The sequence below is a fragment of the Homo sapiens genome, chromosome 1 (assembly GCF_000001405.40).
Source record: "Homo sapiens chromosome 1, GRCh38.p14 Primary Assembly".
Taxonomy (NCBI): Eukaryota; Metazoa; Chordata; class Mammalia; order Primates; family Hominidae; genus Homo; species Homo sapiens.
In genome coordinates, this window is record NC_000001.11 from 224275134 (window position 1) to 224301652 (window position 26519).

Here is a 26519-nt window from a genome sequence, read left to right on the forward strand (position 1 = left end):
AATAATGTACAGGAAAAAAACTGGATGCAGAGGCGGATACAGAATACAACTGCTATCTCTAGGATTTGATTTCAAATTACTAAGTGTCTTCATTAAGAGTCTCAATGCTCCCAAGGGATGACTTCATAAGAAATACCTGGCTTGGAACATAGAAAAGGTTTATTGTGCTAAAAGAATCTGAAAACCACTAGTCCATGATACTTACCTCTCGGTCTGATCTTCGAGGACATAAAGCATCCACTTCATCAAAGAATATCACACAGGGTGCTGAGTTCTTGGCTCGTTGAAAAACTTGTCGCACAGCACGTTCACTCTCACCAACATACTAAACATACACAGAAAGGAAATAAAATACCAACAGTTCAACTTTGTGGTTTGGGTCAAATGATACTAAACAGTTTTATGTGACATAAACTAGTTTTATGTGTCAAAGTCCAGAAAGTATCAGAATGAACCATATACAATTGCTGATATTTAACCATTTTTGACCTGTAATAGCCAACTGCATATAGTTCAACTTAATAAAATTAGCTACTATTTAAGCCTACTATAAATTTCCTTATTTATAAAATGAAGACTTAAGTGAAACGTAAGTTCTTCTCTAGCTCAAAAAAAATCACCAAAATTCAATTGCACTTTAGAACTAATCTTGTAAGCCTCGTGCATATAAAATATCCAGCAGTAATTTTCATTAATTCAACAGTATTTTACATACACACAAGTCAAATTACTGTTTTATTGTTATTTTTACACAAGTCGTCTTACTAAATAAAGGAATAACTATTTTGTCATACAGCATCAGAGGAGGCAAAGTGAGCCAACTAGGCACTTAACAGGTTTCATAATGGCTTACTCTATGTTGAAATCTAAATCAAAATATAAAACATTAAGATAAGTCAAGAAATATAGCAATTCACAAGCAACTATAACATTAGGACTAAGTAATATGAAAAGCTACATGTAAGGATTATTTCACTTTTAGCTTAGGCATAAGAAATTTTTCTTGTAAAATGTCAAACCAGATGATTAAGAAAGAGCAGTTTTTTTCTTAATGAAACTGCCAAATAAGATGGAATCCAAAAACATCTTTACAGTGCCAATTATTATTATTATTTTTGTTTTAAGACAGGGTCTCTCTGTCAACCAGACAGGAGTGCAGTGGAGCCATCTCGGCTCACTGCAACCTCCACGCCCCCAGGCTCAAGTGATTCTCCTGCCTCAGCCTCCTGAGTAGCTAGGATTGCAGGCATACCACCACTACCACCTGGCTAATTTTTGTATTTTTAGTAGAGATGGGGTTTCACCATGTTGGCCAGGCTGGTCTCGAACTCCTGAACTCAAATATCCACCTGACTCAGCCTCCCAAAATACTGGGATTACAGGCATGAGCCACTGCCCCCGGCCTACAGTGCCAACTATTTCATATCACCTATGCTATTTAATGACTATATGGCCATACTAAATAATCAAGGCAAAGAGTACCACAGACGACAGAGATTAAAGTGCTATTTTTTCATTTGACTAGAACTTTCTTTCCCTCACATCCTTTTGGTACTTTTCTTTGAACTTTTGCTCATTCTGCTTCCCTTACTTGAACTGCTTTCTAACCTACCTCCAAACATTTCTTCTTGCATTCTAAAAGATCCTCATTAATCATTCTTCCCATAATAGTTAATTTGATTAAGTTGAACTATATGCAGTTGGCTATTACAGGTCAAAAATGGTTAAATATCAGCAATTGTATATGGCTTATCCTCATCCTGATACTTTCTGGACTTTGACACATAAAACTAGTTTTATGACACATAAAACTAGTTTTATGACACATAAAACTAGTTTTATGACACATAAAACTAGTTTTATGACACATAAAACTGTTTTACTATCATTTGACCGAAACCAAACCCAAAGTATTTCTTTGCTCTTAAAGTACTTTGTATTATTATAATATTTGAGCTCTTCTACCTTCACTATATTATATTACAAAGCCCTTGGAAAGCAGGGGTCCTATTCAGATATTCAGATTTTATCATTATTGTAACATTTGAGCTCTTCTACCCTCACTATATTATATTACAAAGTCCTTGGAAAGCAGGAGTCCTATTCAGATTTTTCTGTCATAACATCCTGCACAGTGTACAAATATAGCACACAGTGTGCAAATATAATAAACAGTGTACAAATATAGTAGACTTTCCTGGAAAATCGAATTCAGCAAAAACTATACTTGCAATGCTGAAGCAAAATATTCAGTACTATTGTAAAAGAAGGCATATCAGGGGGCTGGGAGACATAAAGTTTCAGATAGGAATAGAAGAGAACAATCAATACCGTTGGCAAAGTGACTTTGGAAATGGTAAACCAAGGTAGCTAGGTAAAAGGAAATTTAATTTAGGGAAAGGTAAACCTAAAGTTTCAACGAGGACATATTAAAACCTACTTAATCTTAACAAGGCAACAGTGATTAAAAATAAGTAAATAAATGAAAAGCCCATCTTATCCTTTATTTGAAACATATGCAACATTTCAAGTAAAGATCCTACATTTATTATCTCAAAATCTTTATTGGCCATCAAATTTTCAACCATTTTATTCTGGCTTTTGCAAACATCATTATTAAACATATTTTCCCTAAAGCCACCAATGACCTTCTAATTACCAAATCCCAAGTCCCACTCTCACTATCTTTTATACTGTTTAGTCACACTGACAAGGTTGAAAAACTCATCTTCCCTTGGTTTTCAGGCTTAGAAGGTCCGGGGTGTTCTCCATCTTATGACCAAGCACTTTCGGTCTCCTTTACCAGATCTTGCTTCTTTATCCCTTAATTGTTCGAATCTTTCAGGGTTCTGTCAGAGGCCCTTAATGTAACTGTTCTTTTACTTAACAAACTTGTCCTACCAGACTGAACCCATTCCCATGGTTTTAGATGCCACTTGGATGATAGTGACTTTCAAATCTCTTCAGAGCTTCAGATTCACATTTCCTACTGCCTGCTGGACATCTCCAGATGGCTGTTTAATCTAAAATGTCCTAGAGTGAACTCATTTTCCAATCCCAAGATGCCCATCTTCCTCATTAGATCATCTAATCTTTTTTTTTTTTTTTTTTTTTTTGAGGCGGAGTCTCACTGTGTCGCCCAGGCTGGAGTGCAGTGGCGTGATCTCTGCTCACCGTTAACCTCCACCTCCTGAGTTCAAACAATTCTCCTGCCTCAGCTTCCTGAGTAGCTGGGATTACAGACACCCACCACCATGCCTGGCTAATTTTTTTGTATTTTTACAATGGGGTTTCACCACATTGGCCACACTGGTCTTAAATTCTTGACCTCAAGTGATCTGCCCACCTTGGCCTCCCAAAGTGCAGGGATTATAGGCGTGAGCCACCGCACCCAGCCCAGATCATCTAATCTTTCAGAGACATTCTGCACTCTTCCATAGACCTCTTCCCCCTACCCACCCGTTAAAAACAAATCAGACCACAATGAGGCAAAATGTCATATTTACCAGACTGGCAAAAATGAAAATATCAGACACCAACACTGCTGTTGAGAATGTGGGACAATCTGATACAATCACTTTATAAAAATAGTTAGCAATATCCAATTTTTTTTTTTTGAGACAGGATGTTGCTCTGTTGCCTAGGCTGGAGAGCAGTGGCGTGATCATAGCTCACTGCAGCCTCGACCTCTCAGGCTCACGTGATCCTCCCACCTCAGCCTCCCAAGGAGATGGGACTACAGGTGTGCATCTGGCTAATTTTATGGGGTTTTTTTGTAGAGACAGGGTCTCACTATGTTGCCCATGCTGGTCTCAAACTGGCCTCAAGCAATCCTCCTGCCTTGACCTCTCAAAGTGCTGGGATTATAGGTGTGAGCCACTGTGCCCAGCCAATACCTAATATTTTTGAAAGTGCACATACTCTAAGATTCAGCAATTCTCCTTCTGGGTATATACCCTAAGGGGAAAAAAATCTCACAAATATATGCAAAGATATACATATATAATATTCAACCTAAAAATTCATCAGAAAAAAAACTGATTTTTAAAGTATGGTTACATTCATTCAATGAAATGCCACACAAAAAGTTAATAAACTAAAAATACATCAACAGAGATAAGTATTATAAATAAATATTGAACAAAAATAACAACCAAGAATAGGTGTAGTCACTCACGCATGTAATCCTAGCATTTTGGGAGGCTGAGATAGGAGGATCACCTGAGGCCAGGAGTTTGAGACCAGCCTGGACAATACAGCAAAACCTCTACTTCCAGAGACCCTGTCTCTCTCTCAAAAAACAAAACAAAACAAAAACCAAAAAACTCAACCAAACCAAGTTGCAAAATAATACACACTATTTAAAGGGGTTTTTTGTTTGTTTTGCTTTATACCATGGAGAGTTTATAAGGAGAGTTCCAAACTTATAACTAAAGAGATATAACAGTTATAAACTTCAAATGTACCCATCACTGACCTTCAATTATTATCAACTCGATTAATGACCAGTCTTGCTTCATCTATACTCCTGGCCACTTTCCTTGTTTTATTGAAGAAAATCCTAGATGTCCTATTTTATTTATAAATATTTCAGTATCTCTAAAATATGATTTTAAAATGTCATATCACACTTAAAAATTAGTATTTCCTTAATATAAAATATTCAGTAAGCACTAACATTTCCAATTATCTCATAAACCTCATACTTGAAAAAAATTACATTAAAAATTTTTTTGGTAGAGACAGGGTCTTGGTATGCTGGTCTGTCTTAAATGCCTGGCCTCAAGTGATCCTCTTGCCTCAGCCTCCCAAAGTGCTGGGGATTACAGGTGTCGGCCACTGTGCCTGGCCTTATACTTCTGAAACATATAAAATAATACTATATATTGTTTAGGGATAAATATACACATAGTAAATATAGAAAGAAGTGCATGGAACTAATAAGCACCAAATTCAGCCTTGTGGTAAGTTCCATGGGAAAGAGAACAGGGAACATCATGAGGGAGGGTTTGCAAGAAGCTTTAAGTGTACTGCTGTTTTTTTTTGTTTTTTTTTTTTTTGCTGGGTGATAGATACATAGGGGTATATTATATTACTCTTTGGAATTCCTTATATGTGGAAATATTTTATAATAAAATTTTTATTAATTACAATCTTTAAAAATATGTTACACTCTTGACTTAAAGCCTCTATTAGCTCTCTGATATTCTGAAGTTAACATCCAAACTTTAGCTTGGTATAAAGGCCCTTCAATGTCTGGCTATAACCTTCTTTTCCAATCCCAGTTCCCACCAATGCCCTCTGCTTCAAGGTTCACATCTAATACCACCTCTGCTGGAAAATCAAAACCAAGTACAAGAAAAGTTACGAGGTATGTAAAAAGCCCATAGGAAATACTTAAGTATAACTCCCTTATTTTAGGGAGAAAGTAATACACAATAGGAAAGATTTAAAAATTGAGGTAGAGATAAATTTTAAAAACCTTTTAAAACAAATGTTACCCTCATTTCTTCTTTGTTGGAATATATCATAGAATGGCATTTTTACTTTTCACAGAGAGGGACAAAAAATAAATTCAAAGTGTCTTAAATTTGGATAATAAGTTTCTTAAATGCAGAAGGAAGATACAGCACTTGAGTGACTTCTATCTCCAGAAGTATTTTTATTTATTAATATGGAACTCATCTGAGCCACATGACAACTGGACAAAAAGTAGATCAGGAGTCAGACAACTCAGATTGAAATCTTTGCTCTACTGCTTCTAGCTGTGGGAAAATTCAGGCTCAGAGGTTAACAGACTTAATTGAGAAAGCATTTATACACCCAAAGTGGCAGAGCAGAGCAAAGCTCAGCCTCCTCACTCCTACAGCACTGATTTTAAATACCAAAATACCACAATTGCTGAAAGATCTGAGAACATTTTACCCCGTAATTTGCATGACCATTACTTTTTCTAATCTAAAATAATGGTTCTTGCTCAATAACTTACCATGTTTAGTAATTCGGGGCCCTTGACAGATATAAAATTTAGTCCGGACTCATTTGCAACAGCCTAGCAAGAGGAAACAAAAAGACACAAATAAGACCAATACACAGTAATAATAACAATAATAATGATGATGATGTGTGACAATGAAAGGACTCTGTGTGCGTGTGTGTGTGTGTGTGTGTGTGTGTGTGAGATTTAGATGGAGTCTTGCTCTGTCGCCCAGGATGAAGTGCAGTGGCGCGATCTCGGCTCACTGCAAACTCTGCCTCCCGGGTTGACGCCATTCTCCTGCCTCAGCCTCCCAAGTAGCTGGGACTACAGGCGCCCGCCACCACGCCCGGCTAATTTTTTATATTTTTAGTGGAGATGGGGTTTCACCATGTTAGCCAGGATGGTCTCAATCTCCTGACCTCGTGATCAGCCTGCCTCGGCCTGCCAAAGTGCTAGGATTACAGGCGTGAGCTACTGCGCCTAGCCCTTTTTGTGGTCTTAATTCTGTGTCTCCCTTTCTATATTAATAGTTACCTCTTTCTTATTAAAAGGAAAAAAGGGGTGGGTGCGGTGACTCGCCTGTAATCCTAGCACTTTGGGAGGCCGAGGCGGGTGGATCACCTGAGGTCAGGAGTTTGAGACCAGCCTGACCAATATGGTGAAACCCCATCTCTACTAAAAACACAAAAATTAGTCGGGCATGGTGGCATGTACCTATAGTCTCAGCTACTCGAGAGGCTGAGACAGGAGAATTGCTCGCACCCGGGAGGCAGAGGTTGCAGTGAGCCAAGATTGTGCCATAGCACTCCAGCCTGGGCGACAGAGCGAGACTCTGTCTCAAAAAAAAAAAAAAAGGAAAAAAGACAAATGGGAAAAGGGGAATGGATAAAGGGAAAATCAAAGGAAATAAACGTTAATGTGTTAACGTACAACTTTTTTTTTTAAATTTCACTTTAATTTTTTTTTTTTTTTGAGACAGAATCTTACTGTCGCCCAGGCTGCAGTGCAGTGATGAGATCACCACTCACTGCAGTCTTGACTTCCCAGGTTCAGGCAATCCTCTCACCTCAGCCTTCCGAGGAGCTGGGATTACAGGAGTATGCCACCACGCTCAGCTAATTTTTGTATTTTTTTGGTAGAGGCAGGGTTTTGCCACATTGCCCAGGCTGAAACCTACAACTTTCTAAGAATTACTAAGGCTATAAATCAAATGGAAATGACACAAAATATTTATGTGAACATTTGTTTACATAAACATGCTTATGTAAATATAAATACATTTATAGCCCTAGTTTGGAATTCCAGTGAAATGCTAGTCTCTGTACTCAAGAAATACCTCATGGGATGAAAGCATTCATTGATTTACAAATGAAAATTTAACATCAGTTATCAGTCTTTACGAAGAGTCAGTGTTGAGAAACTCATAGTTGTATGTGTAGAAGAGTCTAAGAATTACAATCTGAATGCAGAGGTGAAACCTGAATAAAATCAATCAGAACTTCAAAATGATCATGGAAGAGAGTTCTTTCCTATTCTTAGAACCTGGTATCTGAGCTCCCCATCTATGTTCCACTTACTCCTCAGCAACACCACTTGGATTGCACAAGCATTTCAAATCTACCACTTCTAAAACTGGACTCCCAATTCTTATTCTTCCAAACCTCTCCAACTCCAGTAACTGCATGCCCTGACTTTATGCTAGTTACATACTTAGTATGTGCAGGTGCCAAGAAAAATTGTATTATTTTGTTATCCTGAGTAAACAAAACAATCAAGATCAGCCAAATACCTAATTTTATATGTATCTCTAGGTTTCTAGGTTCTGACCTATAATTTGTTCCATGAGTTTATCCTAGGCCACACTTTGCCTCTGCCATTCAAGGACATTTTCTATTTCTGGATTCTTGGGCACATAGTCTTGCACCCCTTGGAGAACCTGATGAAAGGTGTTGTGAACACTCTTCCCCAGAAACAATACATATACACAATACATTGCCTGGGCTCATAGATTCAGTGAAGCTGTGAAGTCCATTCATGGAGTCCTAGGTAAGAGTCCCTGCTCCCAAAGGTCAGATGTAAGAAATCTGACTAAGGCCGGGCACGGTGGCTCATGCCTGTAATCCCAGCACTTTGGGAGGCTGACACGGGTGGATCACGAGGTCAGGAGATCGAGACCATCCTGGCTAATGCGGCAAAACCCCGTCTCTACTAAAAATACAAAAAATTAGCTGGGCATGGTGGCAGGCACCTGTAGTCCCAGCTACTCAGGAGGCTGAGGCAGGAGAATGGCGTGAACCCAGGAGGCGGAGCTTGCAGTGAGCCAAGGTTGTGCCACTGCACTCCAGCCTGGGTGACAGCAAGACTCCATCTCAAAAAAAGAAAGAAAGAAAGAAAGAAATCTGACTAAACAGAGTGGTCCTCAATTGTTGGCAGTTCAGTAGTGGGGAGAAGAAGAGGAGAAATGTAGATCTATGATGTTTTAGTACTATATATGCTTTTCAAGTTATCCAAGCTACCTCCTCTCTGCTGTGAACAGGACTACTCAAAGGCAGATGTAACTAATTAAATAATAAACACTATAGGACACACATGAAAGGGAAGTGCATTGACCTGGAGAATTCACACACCAGCATGCAGAACCTTCTTTCTGGCTATATTTTTCCAAAACTATTGTGAAAAAATTGTAGATCAATGACTGTGTTGTTCTCTTCTACCTCCATACCCAGCTCTCTGAAAGCAATGCCTTTTAAGAGTACTGAAAGCATTAAGCAAGGAAAATTAGTAGTATAAATAAAAGTAAGTTTTACACACAGCACTATGGATATTTGATATTTACTGAGGAGCTATAATTTGGTTGCTGTTGTACTTATTAAAAATGTTATTATTTCAATTTCTTACAATTCAAAATATTTTTAAAAGTTGATAAGGGTTAGTTATGGATGTAATATTATACAGACACTAAAAATGATGGATAACATACTTTACACATAGGGAAGACAGTTCTAATAAGCATAATTCCAATGGGGAAAAAAGCACAAAAAGACAGAAATTTGCCCACATAAAAATCAAACCAAAAAAGCTCAAGGTGTCAAACATGGTTACAGTCAAGATAAACTAATCAACATTTATAAATAACAAATCTTAATATATGAAGTGATATAAATAAGAAAGAAAATCACATGTATGCCATTAGAAAAATAGGAAAGGATATGAATAGACAATTCACAAAGAAATATAGCCAATAAACATACTTAAATAAAAAAAACTAGTTTTTTTTTTTGAGACAGAGTCTTACTCTGTTGCCTAAGCTGGCATGCAGTGGTGTGATCTTGGCTTACTGCAGCCTCTGCCTCTTTGGGTCAAGTGATTCTTGTGCCTCAGCCTCCCGAGTAGCTGGGATTACAGGCATGCACCACTACATCTGGCTAATTTTTGTAATTTACTTTAGTAGAGACAGGGTTTTACCATGTTGCCCAAGCTGGTCTTGAAATCATGGCCTCAAGTGATCCACCCGCCTCGGCCTCCCAAAGTGCTGGGGTTACAGGCATGAGCTACCATGCCTGGCCAAAAAAACACTAGTAATTTTTAAAATGCAAATTAAACTGTAAGACAGCATTTTTACCTATTAAATTGTCCACTATTAAGAGCAATGTTCATGGCCATCACTAGTTTAAGGTGTGGGAAAATTGATTCTCATACCCTATTGATAAAAAAGGTAAAAACTGGTGAAAACCTTTAGGAAGGCACTTTAATAATATGGCTCAAAAGCCTTAAAAACATACATTCCTTTGACTGGAAAATTATTTAGAAATGCATTCTAATATAATTATTAGTCAAGGTACAAAAATATAAGTGCAAGGCCATTTAAAGTAGTGTTGTTTCAATATGGGATCATTTCCATAAATTATAGAACATCTATCTTTATGGTAGAATATTATGCAGGCATTAAAAATATTGATGTGTATCAATATATACTGACGTGAAGATGTTCAGGAAATACAGCTAAGTGAGAAAAACATGTTTAAAAAAGCTTATATTTGTGGCTGGGGGTGGTGGCTCACGCCTGTAATCCCAGCACTTTGGGAGGCCGAGATGGGCGGATCATGAGGTCAGGAGTTCGAGACCAGCCTAACCAACATGGTGAAACCCCATCTCTACTAAAAATACAAAAATTAGCCGGGCGTGGTGGCGTATGCCTGTAACCCCAGCTACTCGGGAGGCTGAGGCAAGAGAATTGATTGAACTCGGGAGGCGGAAGTTGCAGTGAGCCAAGATCATGCCACTGTACTCCAGCCTGGGCGACAGAATGAGACTCCGTCTCAAAAATAATAAAATAAAATAAAAAAAGCTTATATTTGTAAACATGCATGTAAAAACTTAAAAGTTAGATATTACTTTGATATGTATGCATAGAAAAATATCTGAAGGATTGACAATGAAATGAAATAATAGTAGTAGGTGGCAGTGAGAGAATTACACACAATGCTTTTCCTTTTTGCTTATTTTTATTTTCTATTATGAAAAAACAATTTTAGAAAATAATTACAAGAAATATAGAGGAAAATACTTAAGTTATAAATAATAACAATACCAAAGCAGGAAACTAAGTCAAGTAAAAACTAAAACTATGGAATAATACTCACTAAAAAGCTAAAATGTAATACACAGAAAATATAATAATTGCATGTTAAAATTGATAGGATTATGGTTGATATAAACATTTTTCAATCATGTGCCTTTGTAATTTAAAAAAGTAGGAAACTTTAATGAAGAAAGTTGTCAGTTTTGCTAAAATAAACTTCTGATAAAAATTATGCATAAGACTTACCTCACTGTAATATTTAAAGTTAAGTTCATATTATCCTATCTGATACTAAGAAATAAATTACATGCAATTGAACTTATATGATACCTTCGCCAGCAGAGTCTTCCCACAGCCAGGAGGACCAGCAAGGAGGACCCCAGCTGGAGTCACCAATCCAAGAGCTTTGAACTGGTCTGGGTTGCGTACTGGTGCCTGGAAATAATGATACAAACGGCGATCCATTACATGTCCATTTTATACTGCAGGTTCAAATTATTTCCAGATACATATTTTATGGTTTTTTTTTTTTTTTGAGTCTCCCTCTGTCACCCAGCTAGAGTGCAGTGGTGCTATCTTGGCTCACTGCAACTTCTGCCTCCTGGGTTCAAGCAATCCTCCCACCTTAGCCTCGTGAGTAGCTGGGACTACAGGCACATGCCACCACGTCTGGCTAATTTTTGTATTTTTAGTAGAGTCGGGGTTTCACCATGTTGGCCAGGCTGGTCTTGAACTCCTGACCTCAGGTGATCCACCTGCCTCAGCCTCCCAAAGTGCTGGGATTACAGGCATGAGCCACTGCGCCCAGCTTCTCAGGCTTATTTTCAACATGACTGTGAGGCCTGAAGATACGAACAGTACCTGGTTTACCTGTTCATGCTCTGTGGTGATAAAGAGAAAAGTCCCTGCACTTGAGGAATTTATACTTGAACATAATGTCTAAGAACATTTTAGACATAATGATATAATATTTCAACAAATATGTTTTAGAAAACCATTTAAATTTCTAGGTTATAAAATGTTTAGACAATGGTCTCCTCTAAGAAATCAGATGCAGCAGTAACTTTTGCATAGTTAAAAGCCAGAGATATCTGTTGACTATAATCCCAGTGTATTTTCTCTTTCAGTAGTACATACCTCTAAATCGATCATATTTCCATTAATGAACCATGGAATGATGAGTAGAAAAGTAAAGTAAATAAAAATTAATCCAAAGTTTTATGTGCATTAAAATTGCCTTGATCCATAAGATCAAGTTCAGAAAGTCTTTGTCAAACAATTTGGTCTTAACTGAAACCTATAATTTTTTGTGGTTTAAACTCACTGCTACAGAAATGAAGCACAACCAAAAGGATCAGCATAAAATAGGTCTCAATGGAATATTATTCAGCCACAAAAATGAATGAAATCCTGTCATTTGCAGCAACATGGATGGAACTAGAGGTCATTATGTTAGTGAAATAAACTAGGCACAGAAAGGCAAATATTGCACATTCTCACTCATAGTGGGAGCTAATAAAGTGGATCTCATGGAGACAGAGAGCAAATTGATGGTTACCAGAGGCTGGGAAGGGAAGGTGGAGATGAGTATAATGAAGAGAAGTTGGTTAACGGGTAAAAAAAATAGTTAGATAGGAGTAATAAGTTCTGGTATTTGATAGCACGGTAGGGAAATTATATTTCAAAACAGCTAGAAGAAAAAAGTATATTTCAAAACAGCTAGAAGAAAAAAAGTATAATGTTCCCAACACAAAGAAAACATAAACATTAGAGGTGATGAATATCCCAATTACCCTGACTTCATCAATACACATTTAATATATGTATCAAAATATCACATGTATCCCAAAAATATTTACAACTATGATACATCAATTTAAAAAAATAAACAAATCGGATCTCAAACAAAAGAAAAACCATTGTTGGGGGCTTGAAAGAAGTGCTACATTCAAGTCAAGTTAGACACAGTGATTATAGTCAAGTCAGTTTAGCCACAGAACCTAGTACACATGCATGGAGCTTTATCTCTGGTCTTTAATCCATGACATGCCAATAATATTTGGCAGCTGATATACCTACCAATATTGCCATGGTGAGCTCCTCTCTAATGTCTTCCAGGGCACCAATATCTGCCCATGTCACATTAGGGACAGTGACAAAGCCTTCCCTTTTGGCAGAGGGTTGGACTGAGGATAGAGCAACAATGAAATCATTCAGTTCAATGCACAGTCCTTGCATCTGCTCCTCTGAGAGGGGATCTTGGTCTCTTAGCAACCCCAGCAGCCTTTGTAATTCATCCTTGAAGGGAACAATAGAGGGGAAAAAAATAAAGAAACACCACAACAGCTATTGAAAAGTTACATTTTCTACTTGTAAAAATTATTACTGTAATATTTCCGTAAGCTATCCTGAACGTCTATGTATTTTAATAATTTTCTCTCTGACATGAGACAAGTTCATTTTATTCTTAAGGATCATATGCTCTGGTCAAGTAAAGATATACCAATTATAATTATAATTAAACATATAAGAATGACTTCTATATACTAGGGCTAGGTATAGCAAATATAAGCGTTGGCAAATATTCATTTCAGCAACCATAATATTTCCCATGTTTCATTTATAAATATTCAAGAAACAGTTGAATCCTGATGAAATTAAAACACTTATGCTGGAGGTAGTATAATTCATTAATATGGTTCCTTGATGGTTTATCAACTAAGTAGAGGGAAGGCAATTTTCCTATTACTATCAAATCTTAAACTTAAAAGGCAGATTTCTTGCTTTGTGGAGAAGATGAAAGGATAAGTCTAAAAAACAGGTAACCAATTAATTCAATTTATAAAATATTAATTTATATGCAATATTATAAAAGGAATGAGTTTGTTATTTTTTACAGAATTAATTGCAGTTTCAAATGTCTAAGAAAAAAACAAATTATCTGAGAACAAAAGATCTGGATTGAAGCCCCTGCTCTATAAAGTAGAGGCTGTATGGGCTTGAGGAAATCACAACCACTTAAGCTTAGTGCCTTTGATTATAAAATGGGGAAAATGACATTTATATAAGGTTACAGGGATCAAATTATATAACATACAGAAGCCATCTGTGCAAGCTATAAAATGCTATATGAAATGATATATATATTGAATTTTCATGACTCATAAAACTAAAAAATTTAATACCGATCTTGGACTGATAACTGTCCCCTATTATTCACATGACTGTCCTCCAGAGCTGTTTGCAGCTACCGACATGGATATAGTTGTGTCAACAGACCACTGTAATCTACCTAACCAAAAGTTAACCAGGAGATATAATTAAATGCCAATGCTGAAATAGGGGTTGACAACCTTTTTCTGTAAAGGTTTAGACTGTAAACACCGTAGGCTTTGTGGGCCACGGTCTCTGCTGCAGACTCCTGTGTGAATTCTGCCATGAAGAACGAAAGCAGAAACAGACAACATGTATACAAATGAACATGGCTGTGTTCCAATATAACTTTAATTTACAAAAACACGTGGTGGGTGGGTAGGCCACAGTCTGCCAACCCCATTCCAGAATTTCATAATCATTATTGTAAAATGAATTTATTAAAATAAACTAAACATAAAACAACTCATATTTTTGAAATGATAAACATCGTGGGTATAAATGATAAGTATTCTATAGATTAAATGCCAATAAAACAGAAAGTAATGAACCTCAATTGTATTGACCCTTGCTTCAATGTAAGATAACACAAAGAACATTAAAAGGACAATTTAAGGTGCCTTTAGAGAAAGCACCTGTGTTTCAGAAGTGGGCTCAGTTCCCAGCCTTTCCTCCTGGACTCCTTTAGATGGCAAATCTTCCATTTCAGGATTTTTCTTCTGCTGTTCCTGTAGCTTCATTAAGACTCTATTGACTGCACACATTGCTGCCTCTCGGCACAGTGCCATGAGATCAGCACCAACAAAGCCTGGAGTTAGGTGTGCTAAGTGACAGAAATCAAAAGCTTGAGGAAGCCTCAGTTTTCTGCACAATGTTTGAAGTATTCTGTAGAAAAGACAGGGGAAAAAATTTCTGATTCCTGATCTAATAGTAAAAACAAGTCACCAACTATATTTATTTGAAGTCCTTCACGTCTGCCAAAGGTATCAAAATGGATACTATATAAGATCAAATAGTTCAGTCACTCAACAAACGCTGTCATTATTACATGTTCCATCTTATTCCAGAAAGGATTATGGTAAATATCTGCTTTGTTAGGAAACATGCTAAGTGCTGTGACGAATACATAGAATTTTTAAAAAATATTTTGCCTTTAAGAATTTACAACATTACAGGGGAAATAAGATAAATAACTTATGGGGGTACTTTTAGAGTAGATTAAATGGATATCTACCAGAAATAAAAGCCCCCACATACACACAAACCATTAATTATCTTCATCATTGAAAATTATCTTGCCATATACTTCCCATTTCATATTAGGACAGTTACAACTCCAACTTTATCTTTACCTATTGTTCATCCCCTGTACTACATGTGTGGAAAATTTTGTTCAACCTAACTGGCAACATGGTATCTATAAACATCTGGACTTCTAGATAATTGTTATTAAAGGAATATCTTGAACAATTTCTGATAAGACCTACTGAATAAAAACTTAAAAGCAGTAAAGATATTCAAGATGAGGGCAGGTGCGGTGGCTCACACCTGCAATCCCAGCACTCTGGGAGGCTGAGGCAGGCAAATCACCTGAGGTCAAGAGTTTGAGATTAGCCTGGCCAACATGGCAAAATCCCGTCTCTACTAAACATACAAAAATTAGCTGGGCATGGCCAGGCACAGTGGCTCACACCTTGTAATCCCAGCACTTTGGGAGGCCGAGGCAGGCAGATCACGAGGTCAGGAGATCAAGACCATCCTGGCTAACACGGTGAAACCCCGTCTCTACTAAAGATACAAAAAATTAGCTGGGCGTGGTGGCGGGCACCTGTAGTCCCAGCTACTCGGGAGGCTGAGGAAGGAGAATGGCATGAACCTGGGAGGCGGAGCTTGCAGTGAGCTGAGATCAGGCCATTGCACTCCAGCCTGGGCAACAGAGCGAGACTCTGTCTCAAAAAAAAAAAAAAAAAAATTAGCTGGGCATGGGGGCGGGTACCTGTAATCCTAGCTACACGGGAGCCTGAGGAAGGAGAATTGCTTGAACCGGGAGGCAGAGGTTGCAGTGAGCCAAGATTGTGTCACTGCACTCCAGCCCGGACGACAGAGCAAGACTCCATCTCGAATAATTTAAAAAAAAGATATTCAGGATGAAAGGTCTGAAGCCAAACTGCAAGAGTCTGAATCCCAGCTCTGTTAACCTTTGTTATCTGGGCCAGTTACTTAATCTTTGTGCTTCAGTTTGTTCATTTATTCAATCTATATTATAGTAGCACTTATTCAGAGGGCTGTTGCTACAAATGAATACATGCAAAGCACATAAAACAATGGCTGATCTACAGTTAGTGCCCAATGAATGTTAATTCTTTTTTTTTCTGAGACGGAGTTTTGCTCTTGTTGCCCTGGCTGGAGTGCAATGGCACGATCTCGGCTCACCGCAACCTCCGCCTCCCAGGTTCAAGCGATTCTCCTGCCTCAGCCTCCCAAGTAGCTGGGATTATAGGCATGCGCCAATGAATGTTAATTCTTATTTACATATTTTGATATTATAAACTAACTTGGACAAGGAAATATATTTTAAAATTAATAACTTTGTAAAGAAGACTAATATTTTCAAATGTCAAGCTAATAAAGAATAAATTATAGAAAAATCATTTGGGATCATATAAGTGAGCAGAATAGAAGCAGATAAACATTACTGACAAATTTTTTAAAATTTCACTGGGATACTCTGAATAATGGGAATCAAGAAAACTTTCCACTAAAGAACTATTTCCAAAAGATACAGATCCAATTTGCTACTATGCACAAGAATACAAAACACTCTTCGACTTACCATGAGTTTACATTCCTGATAAACCCATCTTAAGTCAAAAACATCATGATAAACCCTTTGTAAAGTTGAAAAACTATAAGCCAAAGCATTGTCAGTTGGGGACTATCCGTACTAAGAACATTTTGGATGTTGTGAAAATGGCTAACAGAAAATAATATCGCCCTTTTCATAGTTGTACTCTATCCCTAAAAAAAGTGGGTATTTTTGGTCATCATACTGTAGAAACTCCAAAAGAAGGGAAAGCTACCACTGTTCTAGCTCCAGCTACTGCAGCCACGTGAGACCGCAAGGCAGAACCATCTAGCTGAGGCCTTTCTAAATTCTTGATCCACAGAAACTGTGAGACACAATAAAATGAGTATTGCTGTAAGACACTAAATTTTGGTGTGGTCTGTTTTACACCAATAGAAACTGGAACAATTTATACGGGTTTCCTTTTATGTATGCTGAAACTTTTCCATAATTTGATGCTTTTGAAGTACAGGATGATATCCGGAGGATCACTTGAGGGCAGGAGTTCAAGATGAGCCTGGGCAACATAGTGAGACCCTTTCTCTATATAAAAAATAGTAATAATAAAAGAGACAGCTATCAATAGCTACCTTATTTAAAAAATTCTCTATGTCAGATATTGTGCTAGGTTATGTTAATTCAATACTCACAGGAAGCCTTTGTAGTATTATGATCACTTTACAGATAAAGTTATTACTATTATTATTACTGCATTATAGGTAAATAAACTAAAGCTTGGAAATGTTAAAAACACTGGACAAGGACCAAGGATAACAGGAGGCAGAGGTGGAATAATTTTCCTTCACTGGCTCAAAGTTTGGGCATCTATTCATTGCCTCTGCAACCCAGTCCCGCCTAGGTCTGGCCTTTCTCCTCCTTACTTACACTTACTCATACCCTGGACCTCGTCATCACCTGGATCTAGCCCCTATCTGAGATCACAATCTCACATGCGGCACTCTGCCCAGTCTCACATGTCTGAGCTTATATGTGCAATTACTCCCACACTGTTCCTGGACCTCACCAGGATCTTCAGTGTACCCCTTCCTCATTAAATACCTTTTTTTTTTTGAGACAGGGTTTTGCTGTGTCACCCAGGCTGGATGGAGTACAGTGGCATGACATCGGCTCACTACAACCTCCACTTCCCAGGTTCAAGCGATTCCCCTACCTCAGTTTCCTAAGTAGCTGGGATTACAGGCATGCACCATCACGCCCGGCTAATTTTTTTGTGTATTTTTAGTAGAGATGGGGTTTCACCATGTTGGCTAGGCTGGTCTTGAACTCCTAACCTCAAGTGATGCACCCGCCTCGGCCTCCCAAAGTGCTAGGATTACAGGTGTGAGCCACCATACCCGACCTAATATTTCAGAACAATTTTTTTTTTTTTTTTTGAGACAGAGTCTTGCTCTGTCGCCCAGGCTGGAGTGCAGTGGCGCCATCTCGGCTCACTGCAAGCTCCGCCTCCCGGGTTCACGCCATTCTCCTGCCTCAGCCTCTCAAGTAGCTGGGACTACAGGAGCCTGCCACCATGCCTGGCTAATTTTTTGTATTTTTAGTAGTAACGGGGTTTCACCATGTTAGCCAGGATGGTCTCAATCTCCTGACCTCGTGATCCGCCCGCCTCGGCCTCCCAAAGTGCAGGGATTACAGGCGTGAGCCACCGTGCCTGGCCCAGAACATTTCTTAACTAGATTTCCACTCTACCACCTCAACAGTGCTTCCTGAGATAGTCTCGCTTATGAAGTTATATTTCTGGTTATTGGTGGATATTTATTTGCTCTATGGACATTACTCATTTGCTCAATTACCAGGAAAGGCTGGTACTGCAGCAAACAGCTTTCAACTGTCTGGCTGCCATTTCATTACTGGTAACAGGACCTGTGGTCTCAGACAGGTTAGTGCAATAGGTTAAAGTATGGTACTCAGATTTAACCTATAAGTGGACCAGATGGCTGCTGTATGCCATAGCTCCAGACATTGCCACTAACCTGGTCAGCCAACTGAAGAATGCAAGCCATTGTTAATAAGACCAGACAAATGAGTATGGATACATAAGTCCATTACTACTTCTGAAAAAACAACCTGAAACAATTATCCTACTGATGAGTAAATTGTTTTCTTCCTCTTTTTTTACAGAGGTGGGGCCTCCCTCTGTCACCCAGGTTGGAGCACAGTGACACAATCATAACTTACTGCAGCCTTGAACTCCTGGGCTCAAGCAATCCTCCTGTGCTTCAGCCTCCTGAGTAACTAGGACTACAGGTGTGTGCACAGCTGATTTTATTTTTTGTAGAGACAGGGTCACACTATGTTGCCCAGGCTCAAAATCCTGGTATCAAGTGATCCTCCTGCCTCGGCCTCCCAAAGTGTTGGGATTACAGGCATGAGCCACTGCACCCAGGCATAAATGATTTTCTTAATGTGGGCTTCTCCTTTTCCAAATCAATTTAATTGGTACAAAAAGAAAGAGAGAGAAAGAAAAGGCTACTTGGTATTTCTCACCTCTTACTTTCAAACCATTCAGTTAAGATGACTTAGTGGCATACAAACTTCATTCTATAAGAATATACCTTTCCCTGGATGCTTCATCTGGGATACCTAGGCATATTTCTCGGTCGAACCTTCCCGCACGTCTCAAAGCAGGGTCTAACGAGTCTGGTCGATTAGTAGCTCCAATAACTAGGACCCGGGCTGTAGCAGCCACATTATTCAGATCTAGTAAGAGACAGAGAAAGAGTAGTGAACAAAGCACTTGACACTGACGGCAATAATGGTTACAGAATCATTTCATGGTTAAAGATAAAGTATTACAGATTTTGACAGCAACATACATATAAAACCAACATTTATTAAATGTCAAATATGTAAAAGGTGTGAGGAGGATAAATAAAATACAAACTCTGTCCTCAGCAGTTCACAATCTATTGAGAAACATTGAGTGTGTAAATAAAAAAATGGCATCAGACAAATTTTGTGAAGTATAATAACAGATATAAACAAAGCACCATGGTAATAAGAGAAAAGACATCATGAATTCCAACTGAGGAATAAGGGAGGGTTCATGGAGGTGGTAACATTTCAGAAAAGGCTTGAAGGGTAAATACAATTTTAACAAGCAGATATATAGGCTAATGGAATTCTATGTAGAAGAAAGAGTATTAGTGAAAGCACAGAGGGTCAAGCATGCATGGCACATCCAGGCAAGGTGAGCAGGACAACAGGGAGGCTGGGGAGGATGCCAAAGTCTGTGTCTCAGAATAGACTGATAAAATTAATTCGAGCAGGGGAATACAAAATAGTCTTCAGCTGTTCTGGCTTAATCTAGGAATGTATTTCTAGGAATGGACAAAACTGAGGACTTAAATCTTATCTTTCCTAAGTATTATTTCTCTCAGCTGAACCAGGATTGAACAGCAGGGAGTCTGAGGTTATTTTCCCTCACAGGTAACAAGAAGGTAGTAAGATGCTAATTAAATCATGAGGAGTTTATACAGTGTGTTCTTTTTTTTTTTTTGAGACGGAGTCTCGCTCTGTCGCCCAGGCTGAAGTGCAGTGGCACCATCTCAGCTCATGGCAAGCTCTGCCTCCCAGGTTCATGCCATTCTCCTGCCTCAGCCTCCCGAGTACCTGGGACTACAGGCGCCCGCCACCACGCCCGGCTAATTTTTTTATTTTTTTATTTTTTAGTAGAGACAGAGTTTCACCGTGTTAACCAGGATGGTCTCGATCTCCTGACCTCCTGATCCACCCACCTCGGCCTCCCAAAGTGCTAAGATTACAGGCATGAGCCACTGCGCCCAGCCACAGTGTGTTCTTTAGCTAGCAGGAAGCCATGAAAGCATTTTCTCAGAATGCAGGCCTCAAAGACATGGCAAGAAAATTTTAGATAAAAATAAAACAGAATCCCAGCACTTCGGGAGGCTGAAGCAGAAAGACTGAGCCCAGGAGTTCGAGATCAGCCTGGGCAACATAGTGAGACCGTCTTTAAAAAAAAAAAACACCCAGGCACAGTGGCTCACACCTGTAATCCCAGCACTTCAGGAGGCTGAGGCCAGTAGATCACCTGAGGTCAGGAGTTCGAGACCAGCCTGGCCAACATGGAAACACCCCGTCTCAAAAATCAGCCAGGTGTGGTGGCACGCACCTGTAATCCCAGCTACTCAGGAGGCTGAGGAGGTGAATAGGTTGAACGCAGGAGGCAGAGGTTGCAGCGAGTTGAGATCATGCCAGTGCACTCAAGCCTAGGCAACAGAGACTCTGTCTCAAAAAAAAAAAAAAAAAAAAAAAAGCCAGGCATGGTGGTGCACACCTGTGGTCACAGCTATTTGGGAGGCTTAAATGGGAGGATCACTTGAGCCCAGGAGGTCAAGGCTGCGGTGAGCTGTGATTGTGCCACTGCATTCCAGCCTGGGTGACAGAGCAACACTCTATCTCATCAATCAATCAATCAGTCCATCAATCAGAAGAAGAAGCAACCTACAATCTGGTAATGCAAGGAACATAAAATATATACTTCAAATTTTCTTGTGTACACAAAACAAGTGCTATTTCTTTTTATTTATTTTTAGAGGTAGCATCTCGCTATGTTGCCCAGGCTGGCCTCAAACTACTAGGCTCAAGCAATCCTCCTACCTTAGCCTCCCAAAGTGTTAGGATTACAGGCATGAGCCACTGTGCCCAGTATGACTTTTTTTTTACACTATTTGATATTTACTATATGAATATTATTTTTTATCTTCATGTATTAATTACACTATTTTAAAAAATTTATTCTCTTAAAATGAATTTATTATTTTAAACTAACCATCCATGCAGGTTAGGAGTTGGGCTACAATTCTTCGTTCCATATCTTTTGAAGCCACTTCTCTTTTGGGGGTAATAGCATCAATTTCATCAATGAAAATGATACATGGTGCATTTGACTAGAAATAAAAATATCACAAAAAGACAATCATAAATGCATCCCCTATACTGAAGCACAATTAAGCATATACATTTTAAAAAAAATCTTCAAGGTCAAGGATCATTTGCCAAAAGAATAACCCTAAAGAAGGCAGTTCACATGTGTTACTTCTGATTTTTACCTGACTTAAGAGAACCAAGATGATTAGAAGTACACAGTAAGAGACTGCAGATAGGGTAACACATTTATAGTCTCTTCATCAATGCATGTTTTGTGATAAATCTACTGAAATTCTTTTGTAAATTAGATACATTTGCTATGCTATGAAACAGAAACAATGATTTTGGATAAGCATATGCACAGAAAAAAAAACTTAAGACAACAAGTTTATAAACTTTAAATTAGCAAACCCAAGCTCACTAGAAACGTTATGAGGGTTTCTACTAACGTAAGAATCTCCAAGTCTTTCCCTATAATTTGCTATAAGAGGAAATTTGAGAAGCACCAGAAGCTTTTTAAAAAATCTGTGGTAAAATATACATAAAATTTACCATTCTAACCACTTTGGGTATATAGTTTAGTGGCATTAAATATTTTCAGACTGTTGTGTAAACGTCACCACTATCCATCTCCAGAACTTTCCCAGCATCCACACTGAAAAGTACCGGAAGCTTATTTTAAAGGCTACACTGAATAAGGAAGGATGGTAAAGTTCTAATACATCAGTGTAAAGATCACCTCCAGTTTTTTTGTTTTTAAGAAATAAACTAGACACGGTTCAGAAAGAATAAGTTAAGATGTAAGGATCAGCTACCGAGAGTAGTCAAATTCATTAAGACAAAAAGTAGAATGGTGGTGATGGCCAGGGACTGGTAGGAGAGAGGAATGGGGACTTACTGTCTGGGAACATGAAGACATTCTGGAAATGGATGGGGGTAATGATAACACAACAATATGAATGTACTTAATGCCACAGAATTGTACACTTAAAAATGTTTAAAATGGCCTTTTCAGTTGGAACTGCCATCTTCCAGTAATTCACCAAAATGATGAACACAAAGAGAAAGAGGAGAGGCACCTGAGAGATGTTCTCTAGGCCGTTCAGAAAACATGGAGCTGTTCCTTTGGCTATATGTATGCAAATCTATAAGAAATGTCATATTGTAGGCCAGGCGCCATGGCTCATGCCTGTAATCCCAGCACTTTGGGAGGCCAAGGCGGGTAGATCACCAGAGGTCAGAAGTTCAAGACCAGCCTGGCCAACATGGCAAAACGCCGTCTCTACTGAACATACAAAAACTAGCCAGGTGTGGTGGTGCATGTCTGTAATCCCAGCTACTCGGGAGGCTGAGGCAGGAGAATTATTTGAGCCTGGAAGGCAGAGGCTGCAGTGAGCTGAGACATTCCAGCCTGGACAACAGAGAGATACTCCATCTCAAAAAAAAAAAAAAAAAAAATTAGCTGGTGGGTAGTGCATGCCTGTAATCCCAGCTATTTGGGAGGCTGAGGCAAGAGAACTGCTTCAACCCGGGAGGCAGAGGTTGCAGTGAGCTGAGATTGTCCCACTGCACTCCAGCCTGGGCAACAGAACGAGACTCTGTCTCAAAAAAGAAAAGAAGAGAAGAGAAAAAGAAATGTGATACTGTAGACATCAAGGGAATGGGTACTGTTCAAAAAGGAATGTCCCACAAGTGTTACCACCACAAAACTGGAAGAGTCTATAACGTTATCCAGCATGCTGCTGGCATTGTTGTAAAGAAACAAGTTAAGGGCAAGATTCTTGCCAAGAGAATCAATGTGTGCGAGAATCAACGTGCATATTGAGCACATTAAGCATTCTAGGAGCCGAGGTAGCTTTCTGAAACACATGGAGGAAAATGATCAGAAAAAGGAAACCAAAGGGAAAGTGTCAGCATGCTCCACCCAGAGAAGTGCACTCTGAGAACCAATAGGAAGGAGCCTGAACTGCTGGAGCCTCTTCCCTGTGAATTCATGGCATAATAGGTGGTAATAAAAGACCTCTGGACTGTAAAAATGTTTCTCTTCATTGAGTAGAAGTGTAGTGTCCTCTTCCGCAAAGAAACATTTAAAGCAAATTTAAATTGTTGTCCTAATTCATTGTGTAATATCTTTACTATTCAAATTTAATGTATTTCTTGCTGAAAGATGTGAGGTGGCTTATTATGCAACAAATTACTCAGTTGGTTAGAAAACAGCCAGGTATTATTTATGAAATATCTGTACTGGTTTGAAGATAGTCCCTCTAAATCATCATGGAAGACATAAAATAATTTACAAAAACTTAAAAAAATGTTTAAAATGGTAAATTCTGTTATATATATTTTACCACAAAAAAGAGATAAGGATCAGTTAAAATGAAAAAAATTGAAGAAAATTATCTAGATTTACAATCTAAATCATTTTACTCAATCAGTTACTCAATGGTTAGGAGTGACAGTGATTATGCTAAGTAAGGCTGTCAGCGTCGCTTAAGGCATCTCAAAACCATGGGAACAACCACATCTTAAAGGGAAAGATATTTAGCTTATCGCTAGCTGGATCTCTTCCCTAATCATCCTTATGACAATGTTTGCAAAAGACGCCTATGACTGCTAGATATATTACCCAGTTACAAAGGAGTAAAATTACAGAGGCCAAAAGCACCAGAAAACAAGCACATCAGTACTTGTCAGTGACCTGGAAAGTTGAATGGGGGAAAAAAAAGAATAAATGATGGTCATCAGAATGTGGCCTAAAGAAAGCATAGTTTTCAACCAAGTATCACTTGATTGGATTTCACCTTTTTGTTTCCTGATCCACATGCTTTACTGGACTCATTCTCATTAGCGAAGAGGGGACCAGGAAAAGCGGGGTGCTAGGCCACATATTTACTGAGCATCTACTGTGAGGTACTGTACTGGCTCAGTACTGGTTTAGTGAGAGGTTTAAACACAGAACTAACAACCTAAAGATGCCATTTGCCTCTTATCCTTATTCATCGTGTTTACCATACGCACAAAATTTACTACTTGTCTCTGGCTATGCGTGCCAATTTAACAATGGAATCCACCGCGTTTTGGAAAACAGGTAGCACCTGAGAAAGTTCAGCTTTGCTCTGCACTCTGCCCTTTCCACCTTTTTTCTCTTTATCCTCCTAGTGTTGCCCACAGCTTTTTCAACGTCAGCCCGCACCATAACTAAGTAGATGGCCTACCCATTCTTGTTATTTAAAATGTTTTTTTTTTCTCAATTACTGCTTAAATATAATTTCTCTTCTAATTTCACACAGGCTTCTAACAGTTGTATTGGATATTCATCAGCTACTATATATTGTCATTGCTAATAATGACATAAACTTTTCACCATTTTTTAGTTTTAAACACAGTGATATTTGTTCAAGTGTGAATAATCTTACAGCTAATATTTACAGGGCTTGTGCTGTGTGCAAGGCACCATATCGAAGGTTTTATAAGAATTCTCTCATTTAATACTCTCAATAGCCACGTGAGATTTGGGTATTATTATTGCCCTAGTTTACTAGTAAGGAATGACAGAATTTATTCTGGTATTTTTATGGTTGCTTTTATAATAGCCTAAATAACAATTTTTACATTGCTTACAAGTTTTTTTTGGCCAAACTTAAGTTGAGGAAAGTAAAAGTGAGTGGAAAATATCATAAGGATAATATATTTTCAACATATGACTACAGGGTATGACGGCCCAGAATTTCTCACCAATTACATTTATGTTTGATTTCAAATGAAAAGGGTTATTTATCCAACAGCTGGTATCACTAAATCTACTTTAAATATTTAGCCATCATGCATAGCAAATTACCATGTTTATATTAATAAAAGAATGGCCAGTGAGTGGGTTAACAAATACTAGCATCAGAAAAAGCAGGATCTTTAATATAAGCTGGTAGCGTCTGACCACCTGGCATTAGTCATTAACTGACTCACCACAGCTTGCTCAAATAGTTCTCTCAGCTTCTGCTCAGACTCTCCGGATACTCCAGACACAATCTCTGGAGCAGCCACTTTCAAAATTGGCAGGTCAAGTTCCTATGCAGACACATAAAAGAATAACCAAATATTCAAATTTTAATTTCCCTACTTTTTCTTATCCAGTCCCCTCAAATTTTTTAAATAGCTAGTTTCCTGAGGAACTTCATCTTTTTATGTTGGCCCAGTGAAAAACACTATTTGAAAATCAATGGTTTTGGCCGGGCATGGTGGCTCAGGCCTATAATCCCACTACTTTGGGAGGCTGAGGTGGGCGGATCACCTGAGGTCAGGAGTTCGAGACCACCCTGACCAACATGGAGAAACCCCATTTTTACTAAAAATACAAAAATTAGCCATGCATGGTGGTGCATGCCTATAATCCCAGCTACTTGGGAAGGCTGAGGCAGAAGAATTGCTTGAACCTGGGAGGCGGAGGTTGTAGTGAGCCGAGATCGCGCCATTGCACTCCAGCCTGGGCAACAAGAGCAAAACTCCATCTCAAAAAAAAAAAAAATCAACGGTTTCATGCAAACACATTTAAGTGGATACCTTCAACTTGTTTTTATTTTATACATGTCACTATAAAATTCTATTATCTTTTCTGAATAAAGGGTCTTGACTTTCAAGAGGTATGTTATCCCCACTTAGGGCTGAGCCAAAGCAATTCTTCGTTTTTTTTGGAGAGACTGTGTCTCACTATGTTGCCCAGGCTGGTCCCAAACTCCTGGCCTCAAGCCATCCTCCCAATTCAGCCTCCCAAAGTGCTGGGGATACAGGAGTGACCATTCCTGGCCTATCAAAACAATTCTTACCCATCTGCTAAGGAGAAAATAGCAAGGGTTGTGACACAGATGTTTCCCACACATTCTGCTAGTATTTCTCCAAATCCTAACCCAGAGAGTAGCCAGTTACTAGTCAGAGGAGGGAGACTCTTTAAGAAGAGGCCAGGTGTGGACGCCCATGCCTGTAATCCCAGCACTTTGAGAGGAGTTTGAGACCAGCCTGGGCAACACAGTGAGACCCCACCTCTAAAAAAATAATAAATT

The 26519-nt window shown here is 38.7% G+C and overlaps 1 protein-coding gene across 18 annotated transcripts in view; it reads right to left on the reverse strand.

Moving 5' to 3' along the window:
* NVL (nuclear VCP like) overlaps positions 1–26519 on the reverse strand; it is a 102828-nt gene that overhangs the window by 47789 nt on the left and 28520 nt on the right. For all 18 annotated transcript variants that reach the window (NM_001243146.2, NM_206840.3, XM_017001383.2 and 15 more), the window contains 8 exons: positions 25429–25530; positions 21368–21485; positions 19134–19278; positions 14351–14600; positions 12642–12860; positions 10893–10997; positions 5990–6052; positions 206–325 (listed from right to left, as the gene is read on the reverse strand). In NM_001243146.2, the coding sequence (NP_001230075.1) occupies positions 206–325; positions 5990–6052; positions 10893–10997; positions 12642–12860; positions 14351–14600; positions 19134–19278; positions 21368–21485; positions 25429–25530 (1122 nt within the window). The remainder of the gene's footprint in view (positions 1–205; positions 326–5989; positions 6053–10892; positions 10998–12641; positions 12861–14350; positions 14601–19133; positions 19279–21367; positions 21486–25428; positions 25531–26519) is intronic.